The 16,496-nt window shown below is 41.0% G+C and overlaps 1 long non-coding RNA gene across 1 annotated transcript, besides 3 other annotated features; it reads right to left on the bottom strand.

Annotated features, from left to right (window-relative positions):
- Nucleotides 1-17: 17 nt before the first annotated feature.
- Nucleotides 18-16,121, bottom strand: LOC105373172 (uncharacterized). The gene is made up of 5 exons (XR_001738523.3): nucleotides 13,549-16,121; nucleotides 7,261-7,293; nucleotides 6,855-6,937; nucleotides 6,443-6,545; nucleotides 18-1,438 (listed from the first exon to the last, which is right to left on the bottom strand). It is a non-coding gene; the product is annotated as an uncharacterized LOC105373172 (long non-coding RNA).
- Nucleotides 13,174-13,675: an enhancer, noted in NCBI's record as "NANOG hESC enhancer chr1:232180833-232181334 (GRCh37/hg19 assembly coordinates)". NCBI's record gives its function as "activates a minimal SCP1, AML or CMV promoter by ChIP-STARR-seq in primed H9 embryonic stem cells {active_cell/tissue: H9 hESC(primed)}" and the evidence as "EXISTENCE:reporter gene assay evidence [ECO:0000049][PMID:30033119]".
- Nucleotides 13,174-14,745: a biological region, named in NCBI's record as "CDK7 strongly-dependent group 2 enhancer GRCh37_chr1:232179763-232180962".
- Nucleotides 13,546-14,745: an enhancer, noted in NCBI's record as "CDK7 strongly-dependent group 2 enhancer chr1:232179763-232180962 (GRCh37/hg19 assembly coordinates)". NCBI's record gives its function as "activates an origin of replication core promoter dependent on BRD2, BRD4, P300/CBP, MED14 and CDK7 cofactors, with strong dependence on CDK7, by STARR-seq in HCT116 cells {active_cell/tissue: HCT116}" and the evidence as "EXISTENCE:reporter gene assay evidence [ECO:0000049][PMID:35650434]".

The raw sequence follows: 16,496 nt of genomic DNA, 5'->3' as shown, positions 1-16,496 counted from the left end.
TATTCCAGTGTGTCCTGTTGCAAGCACCTGCAACTTCTGCCTAGGCACTTTCTCTTGATCTGCACATGGGGGAGGCTGGGAGTGCTGTGAAGTAAATCCCTCTGACAGATGAGAGTGGGAAGATAAATATCCCTAACATCCTCGCCCCTTAGAGGGAAAAATTCTCAGGTGTGCTCTGCAGCCTCTCCCACAGTTCACCAGCAAGTTAAGTCTCAGTTGCCCATGGCAGTCACCATTGGATGCCTTTCCAGTCTGTCTCACCTCCCCAGTCCTCCACAGATGCTTCCAGGAATCACCTCCCAAATAAACCACTCACACCTAAATCTTTGTCTCAGGATCAGTTTCTGGGGACACTCACCCAACACAGCTTCTTGTTTGTCATTCTTGATAAAACAAAGAAAACAATAATCAACCCAACACTAGCTGGGCAACATGATCAAGTATAGTGTGAAGCACTAGATCACTGAGAACCTGAGGAGAGAAATCAGGATTATGAAGGGTCTGGTGTCTCTCAGCCAATAAAGAAGAACTCACAGAAAAGGGTGATGATTCTGGGAAGCAGAGAGGGCAGAGGGCAGGAGGCAGTGCTTCAGCTACGTAGAGGCAGTTGAGCATTGAGGTTATCAACACTGAGTTTGGTTTCACAACCCTGAGTATACAGCTCAGAGGTGCCACCTACTAGATATGTAATCTTAGATATGTTTTTTTACCTTTTTAAAACTTCTCTAAACCTTTGTGTCCTTATCTGTAATATAGACATTGTAATCATGTCTACCTCTTGGTGTGACTTTTGTGAATTAAATGTGATAATGCCTGACTCATAGTAAGTACAAAATAAACACTAGCTACATAAGACAAGCAAGACTTCTTTTTAAGCTCTTGAAGGCGTTGTTAGAGCCAGTGTTTCAATATTAAAGGCAATCAGATTCACATTTAAATTAATCAGATCATTATTTTTAAATCATACTGATAATGTGTGTTGTCTGGCAATGAAACTGGCTTCCTTGTGAATGGCCAGGAGGAGGCGAGAGTTGGCTGTGGGTGGGTTTGGGATAGATGCCCCCCTCCCTTGCCCTACTGCCTTCTCCAGCCTCTTTCCCCAGCCTTCTTCCTTACCTCCCCCATTTCCCACCCAAGGCCCTAGACTGTTTAAAATCTCCAGGGACTCCTTTGTTTGCTTTCCTTATAAACATATTCCCGGCAAATCCGTATCTCAAGAGGCTAATTTGGTGCCATCTGGAAAGAGCACTTTCGTCTTCCCCAGCACTTCACCTCCAAGATGCATTTGTACCGAGCCCCAAGGCAAGTGGCTGGGCAGCACAGCTTCGGAGGAACATATGGTGGAGGGAAGCCACCCACGGGGATCCTGGAGAGGAGCTGAAAGCGGACTTCCTCTCTTCACTGATTGAGGTTGTGAACAAAAGGTTCATGAAGACTCCTGCAGCAGGATTGAATAAAACCAGTGTCAGGTGGTCACCCTAGAGCAGGACCCAGCCCATCAGGACGGGGAAGCTCACACTGGCTAGATTTAATTTAAAGTAGACAAGAAACTACCTTCCTTCCTAATCCTCATCCATGCCCCCTCCTCTATGCAGTCTACTTTCACTGTCTCTCCACACTCCACATTGCTACAGGGCCATTTTATTATTACACTCTTTAGAGAGAGGACACACACAACAAACTGTTACTTTATGAGAATATCTAAAACATGAAAAAGGTATTAGCGCTAGATCATACACAAAATACTCCCACCAACATCAAAATTAACAAAGGATTATTGGCATACCATGATGTCAATTCCTCTACACATTTAAGGTTATTACTTATTTTAAAATCACTATATTTGAAAGTAATTTGCAGTTTAGAATTTATCACTTCACAAGAATTCCTGAGTCGGCCCAATGATATTAGATAAAACACAGTCAAACGTAAGGGCATTACTTCCACGCTTCCATTGCTGAAGTAATTTTTTTCCATTTAACAAGCGTTGATTGATTGTCTACATGCCGGACATTGTTTTACGCGCTGGGGATTCAACCTTAAAAAAGACAAAGTCGGCCGAGCACGGTGGCTCACGCCTGTAATCCCAGCACTTTGGGAGGCCGAGGTGGGCGGATCACGAGGTCAAGATCGAGACCATCCTGGTCAATATGGTGAAACCCCATCTCTACTAAAAAACACAAAAATTAGCCGGGCATGGTGACACACGCCTGTAGTCCCAGCTACTCGGGAGGCTGAGGCAGGAGAATCACTTGAACCCAGGAGGCGGAGGTTGCAGTGAGCCGAGATTGCACCACTGCCCCTAGAGCAAAACTCCGTCTCAAAAAAAAAAGACAAAGTCTTTACCCTATGGGGAAATTATTTCAAACATTAAAAAATAATAAATAAAATTCACTGTGGAATGCAATTCCCTAATGATATATTTGCAATGATTCGGGTGGAAACTCTCATAGTCAGAGTACCAACTAGGCCTGCAGAACTCCAAATGCACTAGTCCCAAGTGGCTGCCTTGTCCATTATGTACATTGTTAACTCATAATTAAGGAGAAACAACATGTAGGGAGAATGTGTGAATCCATGCTTTGAGGCCATGTAAGGAAAAGAATAGAGACCACAGAGGTAGTGCACCAAGTCATAATACCCTGGAACTCAAGGATGTGTCTTAATTATTTTTATGTTTCCTGCCCCTAGCATACCATAGGAGCTCAACAAGTATTTATTAAACTGAAAAACCTAACATATAGGGCTGGCATTACAGCCAATTTTGTTTTATCCTTGGCCTTTACTGTTGAATACTGTTTAATTCACTGGTTTGCTCAAATTCCCTTGATGGTGCTTGTGCATGAACAATGCTTACCTGCAGTGAGGCATTCTCTTTTCCCTAGCTTTGTTCTTCCTCATTTTATCCTTTTAAAACTTATTTTTAATTGCAAGATAAGCCAGGGCTATTGCAGAAAAATCAGCAAAACTCAGCATAAAGAAGAAGAAGAAAAAATTCTCTTCTTTTCCCTGCCACCTGGCAATAATCAGTATAAACATTTTGGTAAGTCTACTTCTATATCTTTTGTGATGTATAATTGGAGGAAGAAAAAAATACACATCCCCTTACCAAGTGCCATGGTCAATTTACAGGGATGAATGGGGGACTATATCCCACTGGGAGTTTATCTGGCCCTGGGCCATTTCTGTTTGGCCAGATCTACCTACTGCCCAAAGTTGACCACTGAAAGTCGACGGCTGTGTTGTTGAAAAAGGCACAATGTTAAAGGCTGTTTCCTGTGGTTCAGGGGAGCTTGGGCTGAGCCTGAAAGCAGGAGGCTGAACAAGGCAGAACTGCCATTCTCCCTCATGAGTGTTATCTCCATTACAGGCAGGGAACTTCTGGAAATTATGTTGCATCAAAGAAAATATTTTTGTAATTACTGTGGATTTGAATTGTGAACTCTGTGATGCAAGCCAGCATGTTTTATCCAGTAGATGTCCATTGGAGGGTCACAGAAAGAATCAAGTTGCATAGGTACACCTCAGTGCAGGTGAGAGAGCTCACAGGGTTGGAGGGGGAGGTGGTCAGTGCTGAACTTGAAGTGACAAAGCCCAGCTACTTTAGTGAAGATCCCACCACCTCTATTTACCTCCAGTGATGGTATCTTCACTGAATTGTTTAGAATTGGAGACTAGAGTGGATTACTGAGCTAGGCAGTAGAAGAAAGTAGGGTCCTAATCCTACGAGGTGGCAGGATTTTTCCAAAAGAAAAATATAATTTTTATTACTTAAGATAGAGGAAAGTGGATCTCTTTCCAAGAAAAAAAAAAAAGAGGGCAGATTTCAATACAGGAGGCAAGACTGTGAAAGCGCCCCCATACAAATTTTAACTTCTTGTTTTTCTTCTCTCTTGGACTCCAAGAATAGTCATATTTAGCACCCAGGATAACTTATAGCTACAATCATTCCCTTTCATTTTTTTTAACCTTACAGTCACTCAGGTACAGAGTCACAGGACTTAATGAAGGGGCAGTGAATGAAAATGTGTCCTCCCACATCACCCCTTTGCCGAGGCCAGGGCAGGGTGGCAGTGTATGCAGAGTTGGTCTCTACTCCCAGAGTTCCAGTGATCTCAGATCTTTCTATCCAAGAATACAGTATGACTTTCCATCTGTTTAATTTGGTCCTCATGTCTTCTAGGAGTGTTTCCAAGTTTTCCTTATATAGTTATTAGACATTTCTTGTTAAAATCATATCTAAGTATTTTATACATCTTTTTGTTATTGTAGATGAGGTCTTTGTTTTCATTATATCTTCTAATTGGTTATTATTTCTGTGTATAAAGACTATTAGATTTCTATATGTTAAATTGTTGGCTAATACTTCAAATACGATATGAAATAGTAGTGACTTTATTGCTCCTGACCTTAGCAGGAATGTCTCCAGTGTCTCTCCATCAAATAAGATGCTAGTCTGGGGGCTAACATGGACAGATATTCAGATACTTTTATATTTTTTTATTTAAGAAATATCTGACTTCTATTTTTTTCAGGGTTTTGAATCATAAATGGGTGTCAATTTTGTCAAATATTTTTTCAGCATCTACAGCTACATCATATAGTTTTTTTTCCCTCTCAGATCTAATAATATGTTGAATTACATTAATGAATTTACTGATATTTAACCAGCTTTGCATTTCTGGAATAAGTTCCACTTGGTCATAATATATTATTCTGTATTATTGGAACTAGTCTATTGTCATAATTTTTCTGGAAGCAAACAGTAAGAAGTGTTTTACTATGCGAATTTATCCATCACATTAAAATAAATGAAAAGAAAAAGGAATTAAATGATATGCAATATATTTTTCTCCTTTTATATGCTTGTCCTTAATAATTTTCTAAAGATTACCTCTATGGCTCTTGGATAATTTCAGCTAGCCCTTTGAGCAAACTTATATATAAATGATTGGGTTTTGGAGATTTGAGCACATTTAATTAATCTGAGCAATCTCTAACTGTATTCTTCCCTCACTCAGTATGTGTGGTTTGCAGAATGTTGCTTTTGACATTAATTAGGTTGCTGATATCCAAGGGGGTCTTTGAAAACTCCTGTATTTTCAGTCCCAAAAGTCTGTTTCCTCTTCAGTTAAGAGGAGTCTTTCCTTTTAATCTTGTCCTGAGTCTAATGCACGAAGTGACATATTTCTATTTTTTTGTCTTTTGGGAAACACCTTTCACTTTTCAATTTTGCTGTTATTGTACTTGTTCCTTGGTTAGTTTGTTTCCTTCATTTCCTGTTATTTTTTGATACATTACTGCAATCAATTATTTTCTGTTTCCAAATATTTACTTCCCACTTTTCTTTCTCTTTTTCTTTTCTTTTTGACAGAATCTCACTCTGTCGCCCAGGCTGGAGTACAGTGGGGTGATCTCAGCTCATTCCAACCTCCGTCTCCCAGGCTCAGTTGATTCTTGTGCCCTTAGCCTCCCAAGTAGCTGAGACTGCAGGTGTGTTCCACCACACCCAGCTAATTTTTTTGTGGGTTTGTTTTGTTTTGTTTTGTTTTTGTAGTTTTAGCAGAGACAGGATTTCACCACGTTGGCCAGTCTGGTCTCAAACTCCTGACCTCAAGTGATCCACCTGCCTCGGCCTCCCAAAGTGCTGGGATTAAAGGCGTGAGCCACCATGCCTGGCCACTTCCCACTTTTCTATACTGCCCACTGTTATAGGACTTGTGTACCTCCAATGAGGAGTGTCCATCCTGTTCCATTGATGTTGGCCCTGAGATGTACTTTGACCAGTGGAATGCAAGCAGAGATGCTATATGTCATGTCTGAGCAGAAATGTTGAGCTGTTACAAGTTTCATAATTCATACAGCCCCAAAATGGTTCTAACAGCTTGGGAAGCCTTTTGTTTTTCTCTAATGTTACCACTGTAATGCAAAGCATTTTTGGAGCTCCTCTTTTGGAGTTCACTTCAGAACCATTTTTGAAAACCTTTAATAGCTTCATATCTATTTGTTGAAGGCATATGTATTCATTGAAAACAACCTAAAGTCAACCACAGCCAAGTACATTTTAATGGGTAAGAGCATGAGCTTGGACTAGGGAAGCTCTGTATTCAAAGCATGGTTGTACTATTTAATTTCTGTGGCAATTTATTCAGGATAATCACCTAAAAATGGGAGCAATAACAGTGATAAATATTTTTGGCCACCAGCTTTCATTTCCAATCTCTTCTAACATCTTCCCCATATCACAGGAAAGAACATTTCCCAGCTTACCTTGTCTCCAGGCTTCTTGGAAATGGAATGAGAGGCTCTGATGTGAAATTCGGACAGGGAGACTGAACCCATATTAGCTTGCTGGTGGTGTACAGTAGTGCAGAGATGTGTGGAGCCCAGGCATTACGAGGCTGCACTGTGACCTCAAGGCACTCCCCTTAAACCCACTCACCTTTGTGCTGTAGGTTGATTATGACCATTGGTGAAGGCTTCTTGTAATTTCCTAACATGAGCAGTAGCAGCAATTTCCTGATTCCTCAGGCCACATGGTGAACCTGAAAGTTAGTGGTGGCCTTTCTTAACATTTTGTTCTCTAGTCTTTCTCAATTGGAAATTCCTTATATTAAATCACAATCTGTTTAGAACACTTAACAAGGTTTCCATTTTTCTGACTGATTACTTTTGTCATAGGATTGCTGCCATAAGACTGTCACAGAATTAAATAAAGTAATACATTTAAAATGCTTAAGACAGGGTCTGAAAATATTGCATAGCTATTATTACTATTAGGAAGGTGATCAATATGAACAATATACCCTCAAGTCAAAAAAGGAGGTGACCATCTAGATGAGATTGGTACTCACAGGTGGTATGAAAATTGGATCTGAAGACAATTTCAGAAGAGGAATTAGGCTCCCTAAAATAAGGCTGCCATCACCTGAAAACTCTAAAAAGAAAGATAGTTATTTAAGTGGATGTTTTGATATATTGGTTCTTAAATAATATATTAATTTTTATTTATTTTTGGAGTATTTTGCTCAGGTTTCCCATCTATGCAAGGGAATGTGAAGGTTGTGAACCAGAGGAAGAGAAGCACCTCCTACCTCCTCCTCCTCTGTCTCCTCCTTTTCCTCCTCCTCCTCCGGAAACCCCAGACACAAGGAAGAACTGAATCGACCAACACCTTCTTGTATTTCCATGAATTTTTCCTTAGGTCCAACAACACCAGACAAAAATCCAACATCACTGACATTTTAGGAAGGGACTTACCTTATTCACATTCCAGGTGGGTCTTCAGGCTTCCTAGACAACAAGGATAGATATATGAGAAATCAGACTGCAGCAAAAGTACTGGGTGTCTAGGTTGAAGATTGGAAGTGCTTAAAGGGAGAGAAAATAATGTAGAAAGAAGGAGGATCCTAAATATAAATGTTCAGGAAGTTGCAGCCTTGTCAAAGATGGACTTTGTTGCCAAGTACCAATTAAACAATTCACAAATTAACAGTGTAATGCTCATCAGCTCACACTGCTTCAAGGACTGCCTATGAGAATTCCATCATGTTAAACACGAGCTACTTCTGTTGATGTCTTCTTTCTGTGTCTATCTAAACAGTGAATAATAATAGAAGGAGAAAAGGATTAGCTTGAGCATTAGCTAAAAGTTGCTCTATTTTTATCACAGGACACCAAGAAAAGGGAAGAAAGATGTTTCTATTTCCTGTTAACATTACTTGGTTTGATATCTGGACTGAGGGAATCCAACATATCCTCCTTCTGCGTAGTGATCCATAAGTTTAAGTCTTCTCACCCATAGAAGGGAGATATTAGTAAGTACCTTGGAGGGCTGTTGTTAGGATTAAGTTGATTTGTGCAAATCATTTGAAAGCTTACTGACCCTTGATCAAAACTCCTCCCAAAGGTGGTTAATTCTTGCTGCCTCCCATGACTGCCTCTCCTGTCCTGTGTCCACAGAGTCAGGCTTCAGTCCCACGTGTGCTGGAGCTGCTGGCAAGAACCTATTGCGGCATCTCTTCCCATTTTTGGGTTCAGTGATGTCATGTTGTTAGCTTGAAACCAGCTCTTTGGGAATATTTATTTCATGGAAATTGGCAAATGCTATAAATCAGGATTTTGTTTTTGTGTTTTGGAGAGCCAGATTACCAGCACCCTAACCCCTGCTTTGTCCCACTTTCCCACTGATTCTGCTCCTACCAAAGTCATTGATGACCTATGTTTAGCTGAGGTCAGTAGTCAGTACATTATCTCATCTTATTCAAGCTCCCTGAAGCATCTAACCTGGTCGATCACTGCTCTTTCTTTGAAGGTTTTCTTCTCTAGAACTCTACAAACCCACTTGGTTTTCCTCTTACCTTGTCAATTTTGCCTTTTCAAGGTCATTTGTTGGATTTGCCTCCCCTACAGACTTCTAAATGTTAGAGTGGCCATAGCTGTGTTCATTGGCTTTCTCTCTCTGTTAAATACTCTTCTATCCTTATTTGGTCTTACATAGTTCTGTGACTTTAATCTATATATATAATCTATAAAACTCCCCAGATCTATTTATTTATTTTTGAGACAGGTTCTTGCTCTGTCACTCAGCCTAGAGTACAGTGGCACAATCATAACTCATTGTGGTCTCAAACTTCTGGGGTCCAGTGATCCTCCCACTTCAGCCTCCCAAGTAGCTGGGACTACAGGCATGCATCACCGTGCCCAGGTATTTCTTTTTTTTTTTTTCTTTTCTATTATTATTATTTTTTTTTTTTAGAGACGGAATCTCGCTATGTTGCTCAGTCTGGTCTCAAATTTCTGGCTGCAAGCAGTTCTTTCATTTTGACCTGCAAAAGTGCTGGGGTTATAGGCGTGAGCCACCACGCCCAGCCGCAATTCAATTTAAACTCATACTGCCTACTCAGCATCTCTGTTTGCATGTCTAATCAATGTCTCACACTCAACATGGCCAAACTACAGATACTCCCCCTCACTCCCACCTGCCCCCCACAACCTCTGCACAAGTATCTTCTCTTCACTAAAACCTTCTCCGTCTCAGCCAATAGTTTTGCCATTTGCCCACTTCCTCAGGCCAAACACCTAGGGCTCTTACTTGATTGTCTTCCCACACACTCTTAACAAATGAGCATAATTTATATGGGTAAAGACCAAGATTCAAGGCTATGGTTCACAGCTATGAACAAAGGTCCCTGTGAAAACAGATGGAAAGTTAGGAATGCAGAGTCATCCAGAGCAATTGAAAGGAGGTATTCGGCTTGGTGCAGTGATTCACGCCTGTAATCCCAGCACTTTGGAAGGCTGAGGGAGATGGATAATGAGGTCAGGAGATCAAGGCCATCCTGGCTAACATGGTGAAACCCAGTCTCTACTAAAAATACAAAAAAAATTAGCTGGGCGTGGTGGCATGCACCTGTAGTCCCAGCTACTCAGGAGGCTGAGGCAGGAGAATCGCTTCAACCAGGGAGGCAGAGGTTGAAGTGAGCCGAGATGGCACCACTGCACTCCAGCCTAGGTGACAAAGCAAGACTCTGTCTCAAAAAAAAAAAAAAAAGAAAAAGAAAAACAGAAAGGAGGTATTCAAGATGAATCTGAAAGTATAGTTTGATGACAGATAATAATTGTTCTGTAATAAAACAAGTATTCTTTAGCCAATAGAAAAATCACTGGAGGTTTTTGAGCCTGATCTGATCATTGGTTTAGAAAGATAACTTTGGCCATGAATTTAGATTAACAGAAATTTAGAGACAGGGAAACCAATTAGAAACTTACCATGATTGCTCAAGTAAGAGAAGATAAGAATCTGAACTACAGATTAGACAGAATGAGAGATAAAAACTTCAACTGCTAAAGGCACTAGGACTTGACTGATTGAATATGAGATGAGGAAGAAGAAACAAAAGGTAATCGAGAGGGTTCCAATTAGTATCTCCTGGAAAACGGAAATGCCGAGAACCGAGGTAAGGAACAGATGAATGGTAGGCAGATTGTGAGGAAAAAAAAACAAAAATGAGGTTGGTTTTAGACATAATGTGCTTGAGATGTCTATGAGGCAGTGAGATGGAACAGAGACTCCTCTTAGGGGCCTGCTGGGCACGCCCCACCAAGCTTGGAAATAAAGGAAAATCTTGAGTTCCTTCATGGGAAATTCAAGGCACCTTATCCTTGAGAAGTAAGTGAGCAACCTGAGAAATAAGAAGGTAGTAGTAGCTTAAAACAATCGCCAAGAAAGTTAGTCGCAAAATATTTGGTTCCCTATAGAAACTAAAAATAGCATCTTAACATGTCCTTGAGTTGTTTTTCAGAAACCTGGACCCCCACCACATGAAAGATGTGGCCTGCTGGCACAGAGACTTCAGATGAGGGAAACTGGGTTCTTCCTGAGGGGCCTGGAGGAGGTTACACCCAGGAGCCAGACCTAACGCATCTTCCTACTGACCCCAAATTTTTAAGCAAAGCTTTTCTTCCTTAACCAATTGCAATTCATAAAATAGTTAAATCCACCTATAGCCTGTGGATCCCTACTCTGAGGTATCCTTTCTTTTTAGGTCAAACCAATGTATACCCTCCATATATTGATTTACAACTTTGCTCACAATCTCTGCCTCCCTGTCCTTAAAAATTCTTATTCATGGCCGGGTGCGGTGGCTCACGTCTGTAATCCCAGCACTTTGGGAGGCTGAGGCAGGTGGATCATGAGATCAGGAGTTCGAGACCAGCCTGGCCAACATGGTGAAACCCCATCTCTGCTAAAAATACAAAAATTAGCCTCGCGTGGTGGTGGGTGCCTGTAATCCCAGCTACTTGGGAGGCTGAGGCAGGAGAATCACTTGAACCTGGGAACTGGAGGTTGCAGTGAGCCGAGATCACACCACTGAACTCCACAGCCTGGGCAACAAGAGCAAAACTCTGTCAAAAAAACAAACAAACAAACAAACAAACAAACAAAAAACTCTTATTCATAAGCCATCTGGGAGTTGGAGTCTTAAGCATGAGCTATCTGATTCTCCTCACCTGATGTTCTGCAATAAATGCCTCATGTTGTCTCCCTGCAAATCCCAATGTCAGTGTTTGACTTTGCTGCCCCAGGTGGTTCAGTTCAGTAACAGTCGTGATGGAAATGTCCAGCAGAATCAAAGCTCAGAAAAGAGGGCATAACTGGAGAATGATTAGAGGGTACGGAACCATACACAACTTTGAATTTGGGGTTCAATTCAGTACCTAACATGTGGTGAGTGTCCAATCAATATTGTCAATGAATATTATATCTTTGGGAATAATCACTGTGGAGATGTTGTAAAACTTGTTAAAGCAGATTAAATTGCCCATGAGAGAAGAGATCTAGGACAGAGACTTGGAGTATCCATCTTTTAAGCACAAGAAAGAGTAATCATGCAGAAAGATGGATGTAGGATAAGACTATTGGGAATGGAGTGTCACGGAACCCAAGAGAGAAAGGAGGTTCAATAAGGAAGAGATTAGTTTCCACACTGCACACTTGTACTAAAATGTAGAATGGAATGAGGGCAGATAAAATGCTGTTGGATTTGGCAGATCATGTGTGAAAAGAATTTTAATGAAGTGGTGGGAACAGAAACCATACCATGGAGGCTATGGAGTGAGTATGTGATACAAGAGCCCAATGGTGCAGTCATGCCTGAGAGTACTGGGTCCTTGTGAAATATCACAGATGTCTCCATAGTCAAGTTTCATAGTTCTGTGGTAGTGGTATAGACAATAATGAATCTTTCAGCCCTTCTGTCCACGCATATAACCCTCTTGTCATGGGCATGTGGAAAATGCCCATCATGACAGTTGTGTCCAGCTGTCTGTCATGTTTCAAAACCAAACCATACATTTTACCCCAATAACTTTGTGTGGCTGACATGGGGGCATCACATGTCTGCCTCAGGCAATGTCTGGGGAAGAAAGCTTTCATTCTGACTGCCTTTGTTAATGTTTTTCGTAATTTGGAAAGTCTTTCAGTAATTCAAGAAAATCCTTTCCTTCCTCTACAGGAGAGAGGGATCTCATTATGACTGAGAAAAAAATATCAAGGAAGAGTGAGTAATATTTTCTTGATAGCAAAACAAAGTGACAAATAGGGTGTAGGCAGGTTGAGAGCGATTATAGCAATCTTCTTAGTGGCTAAGATTTCCCATGACCATCATGAATGAATAATGGTTCTACAAGGAAGAGATTTAACAAGAGAGGGAAAGGGGGAGTAGGGAGAGGGTGGGGCTGGGGAGAGCACCTAAATGATTTAATGTTGGTCCCTACCCTCCCCCACTGAATCAGTTTTTAATTCCCCATGTGGCTACTCAAATTAATCTCCCCCAGTGACACTTGCTTGAGATCAATCCTTCCCCTGCCAGGGCCATTTTTCACATGTATCTCTTAGCTTGGGGGTTTCTAGACCACAGAGTCAGTAAATTTGACCCCAAGCCTGTCTGAGAGAAGGCTATCAATTCTTAGGGCAGACTTTTTTCTCCTCCCAAACCTAAAATTTGGGCTGAGATTTTACTAAGGTTGAAACCTTATGGAAGGAAAGGGTGCCCTGCCTGCCTTTGGAACTTTGTACTGGATACCTGGCATAGGGCTGACTCTGAGGACAAGGACCAGGCCTAAGACCCCGACACTGCCTTGTCCCAGAGCCTCCTGCCTGCTAGTGGGACATAAGGAGTGCATTGGAATACAAAAGAAACAAGTTCACCATGACTTTGCAGACTCGCTGAGAATCTCCCTCGCAGCCTCCTCATTATCAGGAAGGACTCAAATCTTCCCAGGCACAAAATATCCAGATGCCTTTACTCAGGTCAAATCTCAAGGCAGGCATCTCCCTGGTAATTGCCAGCTCCTCAAGCCAGGAAGAGATGCCTTTCTACGCTTGTCCTTAAAAGTCAAAACTCTGCCTAGCAAGACAACCCTTTAATGCATGCCTTCTGCATTTCTCAACTTCCCTCATGGGAAACTAATAAATCAGAGATGGTTTTCTGTGCATTGTGTGGTACACGCCATTACATAAAGACCTTGTTAATTTTTTTTTTTTTTCTCACAGGTTGCAACATGTCATTTGCCTCCCTCTGGCCTCATTGTTATTTTCTCATTCTCTCCTCCCATATTTTGTAAGAGTGCATTGATTTATTGCCATTTTCATTTTTTAAAACATCTTCCTCCTACCTCAACAAGCATTTTTGCCCAAAGCGAGTATTAACAACTTCCCTCCAGTTCTCCTTGTGTTCCTCTGTCGAGTGTTCTTATTCATTGCATTTGTGAAAAAAGGAATTCTCTGGGCCAGCACAAAGCATCTGCTGCTTCTATCCAGGCAAAGAAAGATGGTGGCATGGGGTTTTTATTTACTGAAGGCTGGGACGAACGCAGAGCTAAGTGTGCATTCCTGGTGCTCCTGGCTTTGTAGTTGTTACAGATGCTGTTGTCCTGCTAGGAGCAGAAGCCCTTCACAGAATGCAGAAATCAATGCCTGCGCCTCAGCCTTGCTCTTACGGGTTAGTAAATGAAAAGGGTGTTTTAGAAGCACTATGAACTCACCCTGAAGTTCTCAAGTAATCAGGAACTGCCACTCTCCCCTTCTCTTCTACAAAGGAAATGCAAATACATGAGGTAAGAAAAAGACATCTAAATAATAAAAGCCCCAAGTGGAAAATATTGGTAAAAATTAGGGAAAAGTTATTAAAGTTAGGTAGAGGCAAAAGAGAATGGCAAATCAAGGGGGTTCATATTGAAATGCACCTTTGGGGAATTCACGAGGGACTGGAATCTGCTTTACCACATTGCTTACGGGCGGATGATGTGAAACAGGCAGGGGCCAGGCAGTGGAAGGAGGACTGTGGCTAAGGCCATCCCAAGCAAGCTCTGGCTGTGTGCAATTCCCCAGATTGGGGAGGTTGCTCTAGACAAACCCTTGGGTGTTTTTGAATATTTACCCACAGCTTTGCTGAGCTGAGCAGATTAAATAGAAGTTACCCAAAGCACTTTGCATCTCAAGCATTCAAGTTCTCCCAAGTGTCTGGGACCATTGTGAAGTTTGGGGAAGGTGGGTCTACAGAACCAGAAATTGAAAATACTCCTTTTTATATTAAGAAATCTACCTGAATTACCAGGTACCTCTTGAGAGTCACTTTTTTAGGTTGAGTACAGTGTTCTCGCTTGACTGGGTTGCATCCTGCTTCAGATTGGTTCTGTTCACTCCGTATAGCAGAAATTTTTAAAAAATTTTGAAGTACGTATGTATATGTTGCTTTTTTTAAAAAAAGATTTTCATATGTATTGGCTCTTTTGAGTTTTTCCACAACCCTGAAAGACAGGCTTCATTTTGCAGGATCAACAAGGTAAGTGATCAGCTTAAAAAATCACACAAGTGCTAAGTAGAAGACAACTTCAGTCCAGACCTCTAGTCTTTAAATCCTGGATTCTTCATGACTCTACACTTTTTATCTGTAGACAAAATAGGAGGAGCACAGACCAACGAGAGCAGTATCGAAGGAGATCAATACGATATAGCTGTAGGATCGACATTGCTCATCGTAAATGTTAAGAATTGTCCAACAGTGACTCACCTGATGTGGTTATTGTGGATATATTCATGATGAGCAGGAACACCACGAAATCAATTAAACCAGTCAATATCTGGTTGAGAATTCTCCCTGCAGGGGAATGGGCCATTGCTGGGCTGATCTTTGTCTTCAATTCTGTTCCTAATGCTAATTTCATCTCAACTATACCACTCTTTCTTATCTTTCAGTAGTTTCACTCCTGGGAATCTCTTCACAGGACATAATTTAAAGGAAAGGAAAAGCTACACACATGAAGTTATCACAGCAGCATTACCTGTAACAACAAAACATCGGAAGGATTTAATGTCCAATTATGTGGGAATAGCTAAGCTATGGTATATCAATTTGATAGAATATTATGCAGCAATAAAACAATGATTATGATTATATAGCAAAATGGAAAATACCGTAATATTAAACACAAAAGAAGAATAAAAATGTGCTGGCTACAGTTTGTTGAAAATATAGTTTTGTACAAACAAGGGCTGGAAAAGTGAGAATAGTGGGCTATGCATGAATCTTTAAAAATGATTATTTTACATTTTCTTATCACAAATAAAAATCAAATGAGGAATAATTTTTAAAAACCTGTTGCTCAACATTAATTAAACTGCTGTGTGTGTGTCTGTGTGTAGTTTAATGATTTATTGCATGGATTTAAAACCAAGCGTCCCTGGAGTCGACACTCAAAATTTTCATTGCTTGCTGGATAATTTTCTCTAAGCCTTTTAACCTCTGTAGCTTGAATTCATTCATTTATAGGAAGGGCAATTTTTATAGTAGGAGTTCAATGTTTCTTGAGTGAATAAATAAATAAACAATGGGAAAAGGTCTCATCCCTGTAGGAAAGGCTTTGTTTCCAATGAACTCAAGAAGCTGTTTTGTCCTATTGTAAAGATGAGGGAGGTCAACTGGGCTGTTCTTCATGCTGGAGTTTGTGGTTGTGTCTTTTCCACAGTGGAAAAGTGTATGTGATATGTACATTTAAAAGCACACCTAAAATTGGATAAAACAATGAGGGCATAAGTAGTTCCTGAGGGACAATGAAGGGCAGAATGTGACTCCATTTCCCAAGTCTCCATTCTGCCCACACAATCAATCACCTATCAGGTCTCTTTGATCCAGGGCTCAAAGGAAGGAGACTTGATGTTATTCCCTAACCCAGAAGGGAGAGAACGTGGGTTCCAGAGAGTGCTGAATTTTCAGTACTACACCCCCAGATGTAGTTGTTCAAGAAAATGGCCAGAACAAAATCAATCTCTTGTCTTTAAAGTGATAAAAGTTTCAATGATAATGATTCATTTCTGTATTAGTCCGTTTTCATACTGCCATAAAGAACTGCCTGAGACTGGGTAATTTATAAAGGAAAGAGTTTTAAATGAATCACAGTTCAGCATGGCTGGGGAGGCCTCAGGAAACTTACAATAATGGCGGAAGGCAAAGGGGAAGCAAGGCACCTTCTTCAAAAGGCGGCAGGAAGGAGAAGTGCTGAGTGAAGGGGGAAGAGCCCCTTATAAAACCATCAAATGTTATCAGAACTCACTCACTATCATGAGAACAGCACTGGGGAAACTGCCCCCATGAATCAATTACCTCCACCTGGTCTTTCCCTTGACACACGGAGATTATGGGGGTTATGAGGATTGTAATTCAAGATAAGATTTGGGTGGGGACACAAAGCTTAACCATATCAATTTCCTTCTCAACTTAAAATCATCTGATCACATTATGTCATAGTTCATACTTGCCTTTTTATCACCAATATCAGGTGCATACCCTAGCACAGTGCTGGGCACACAGTAGGTAAATAAATAGCAGATGAATCCTGCATAAGCCGCAAGGAGACCTGGGCAACCATTCAACAGCCTGTGTGCCCTGCCCTACTTGAGGGCCTACTCTCAGGCTCATTAATTATGACTTTTT

The sequence above is a fragment of the Homo sapiens genome, chromosome 1 (genome assembly GCF_000001405.40).
Source record: "Homo sapiens chromosome 1, GRCh38.p14 Primary Assembly".
NCBI lineage: Eukaryota > Metazoa > Chordata > Mammalia > Primates > Hominidae > Homo > Homo sapiens.
Note: the sequence above shows the minus strand (reverse complement) of the source record. Positions and strands in the feature narration are given on the sequence as shown.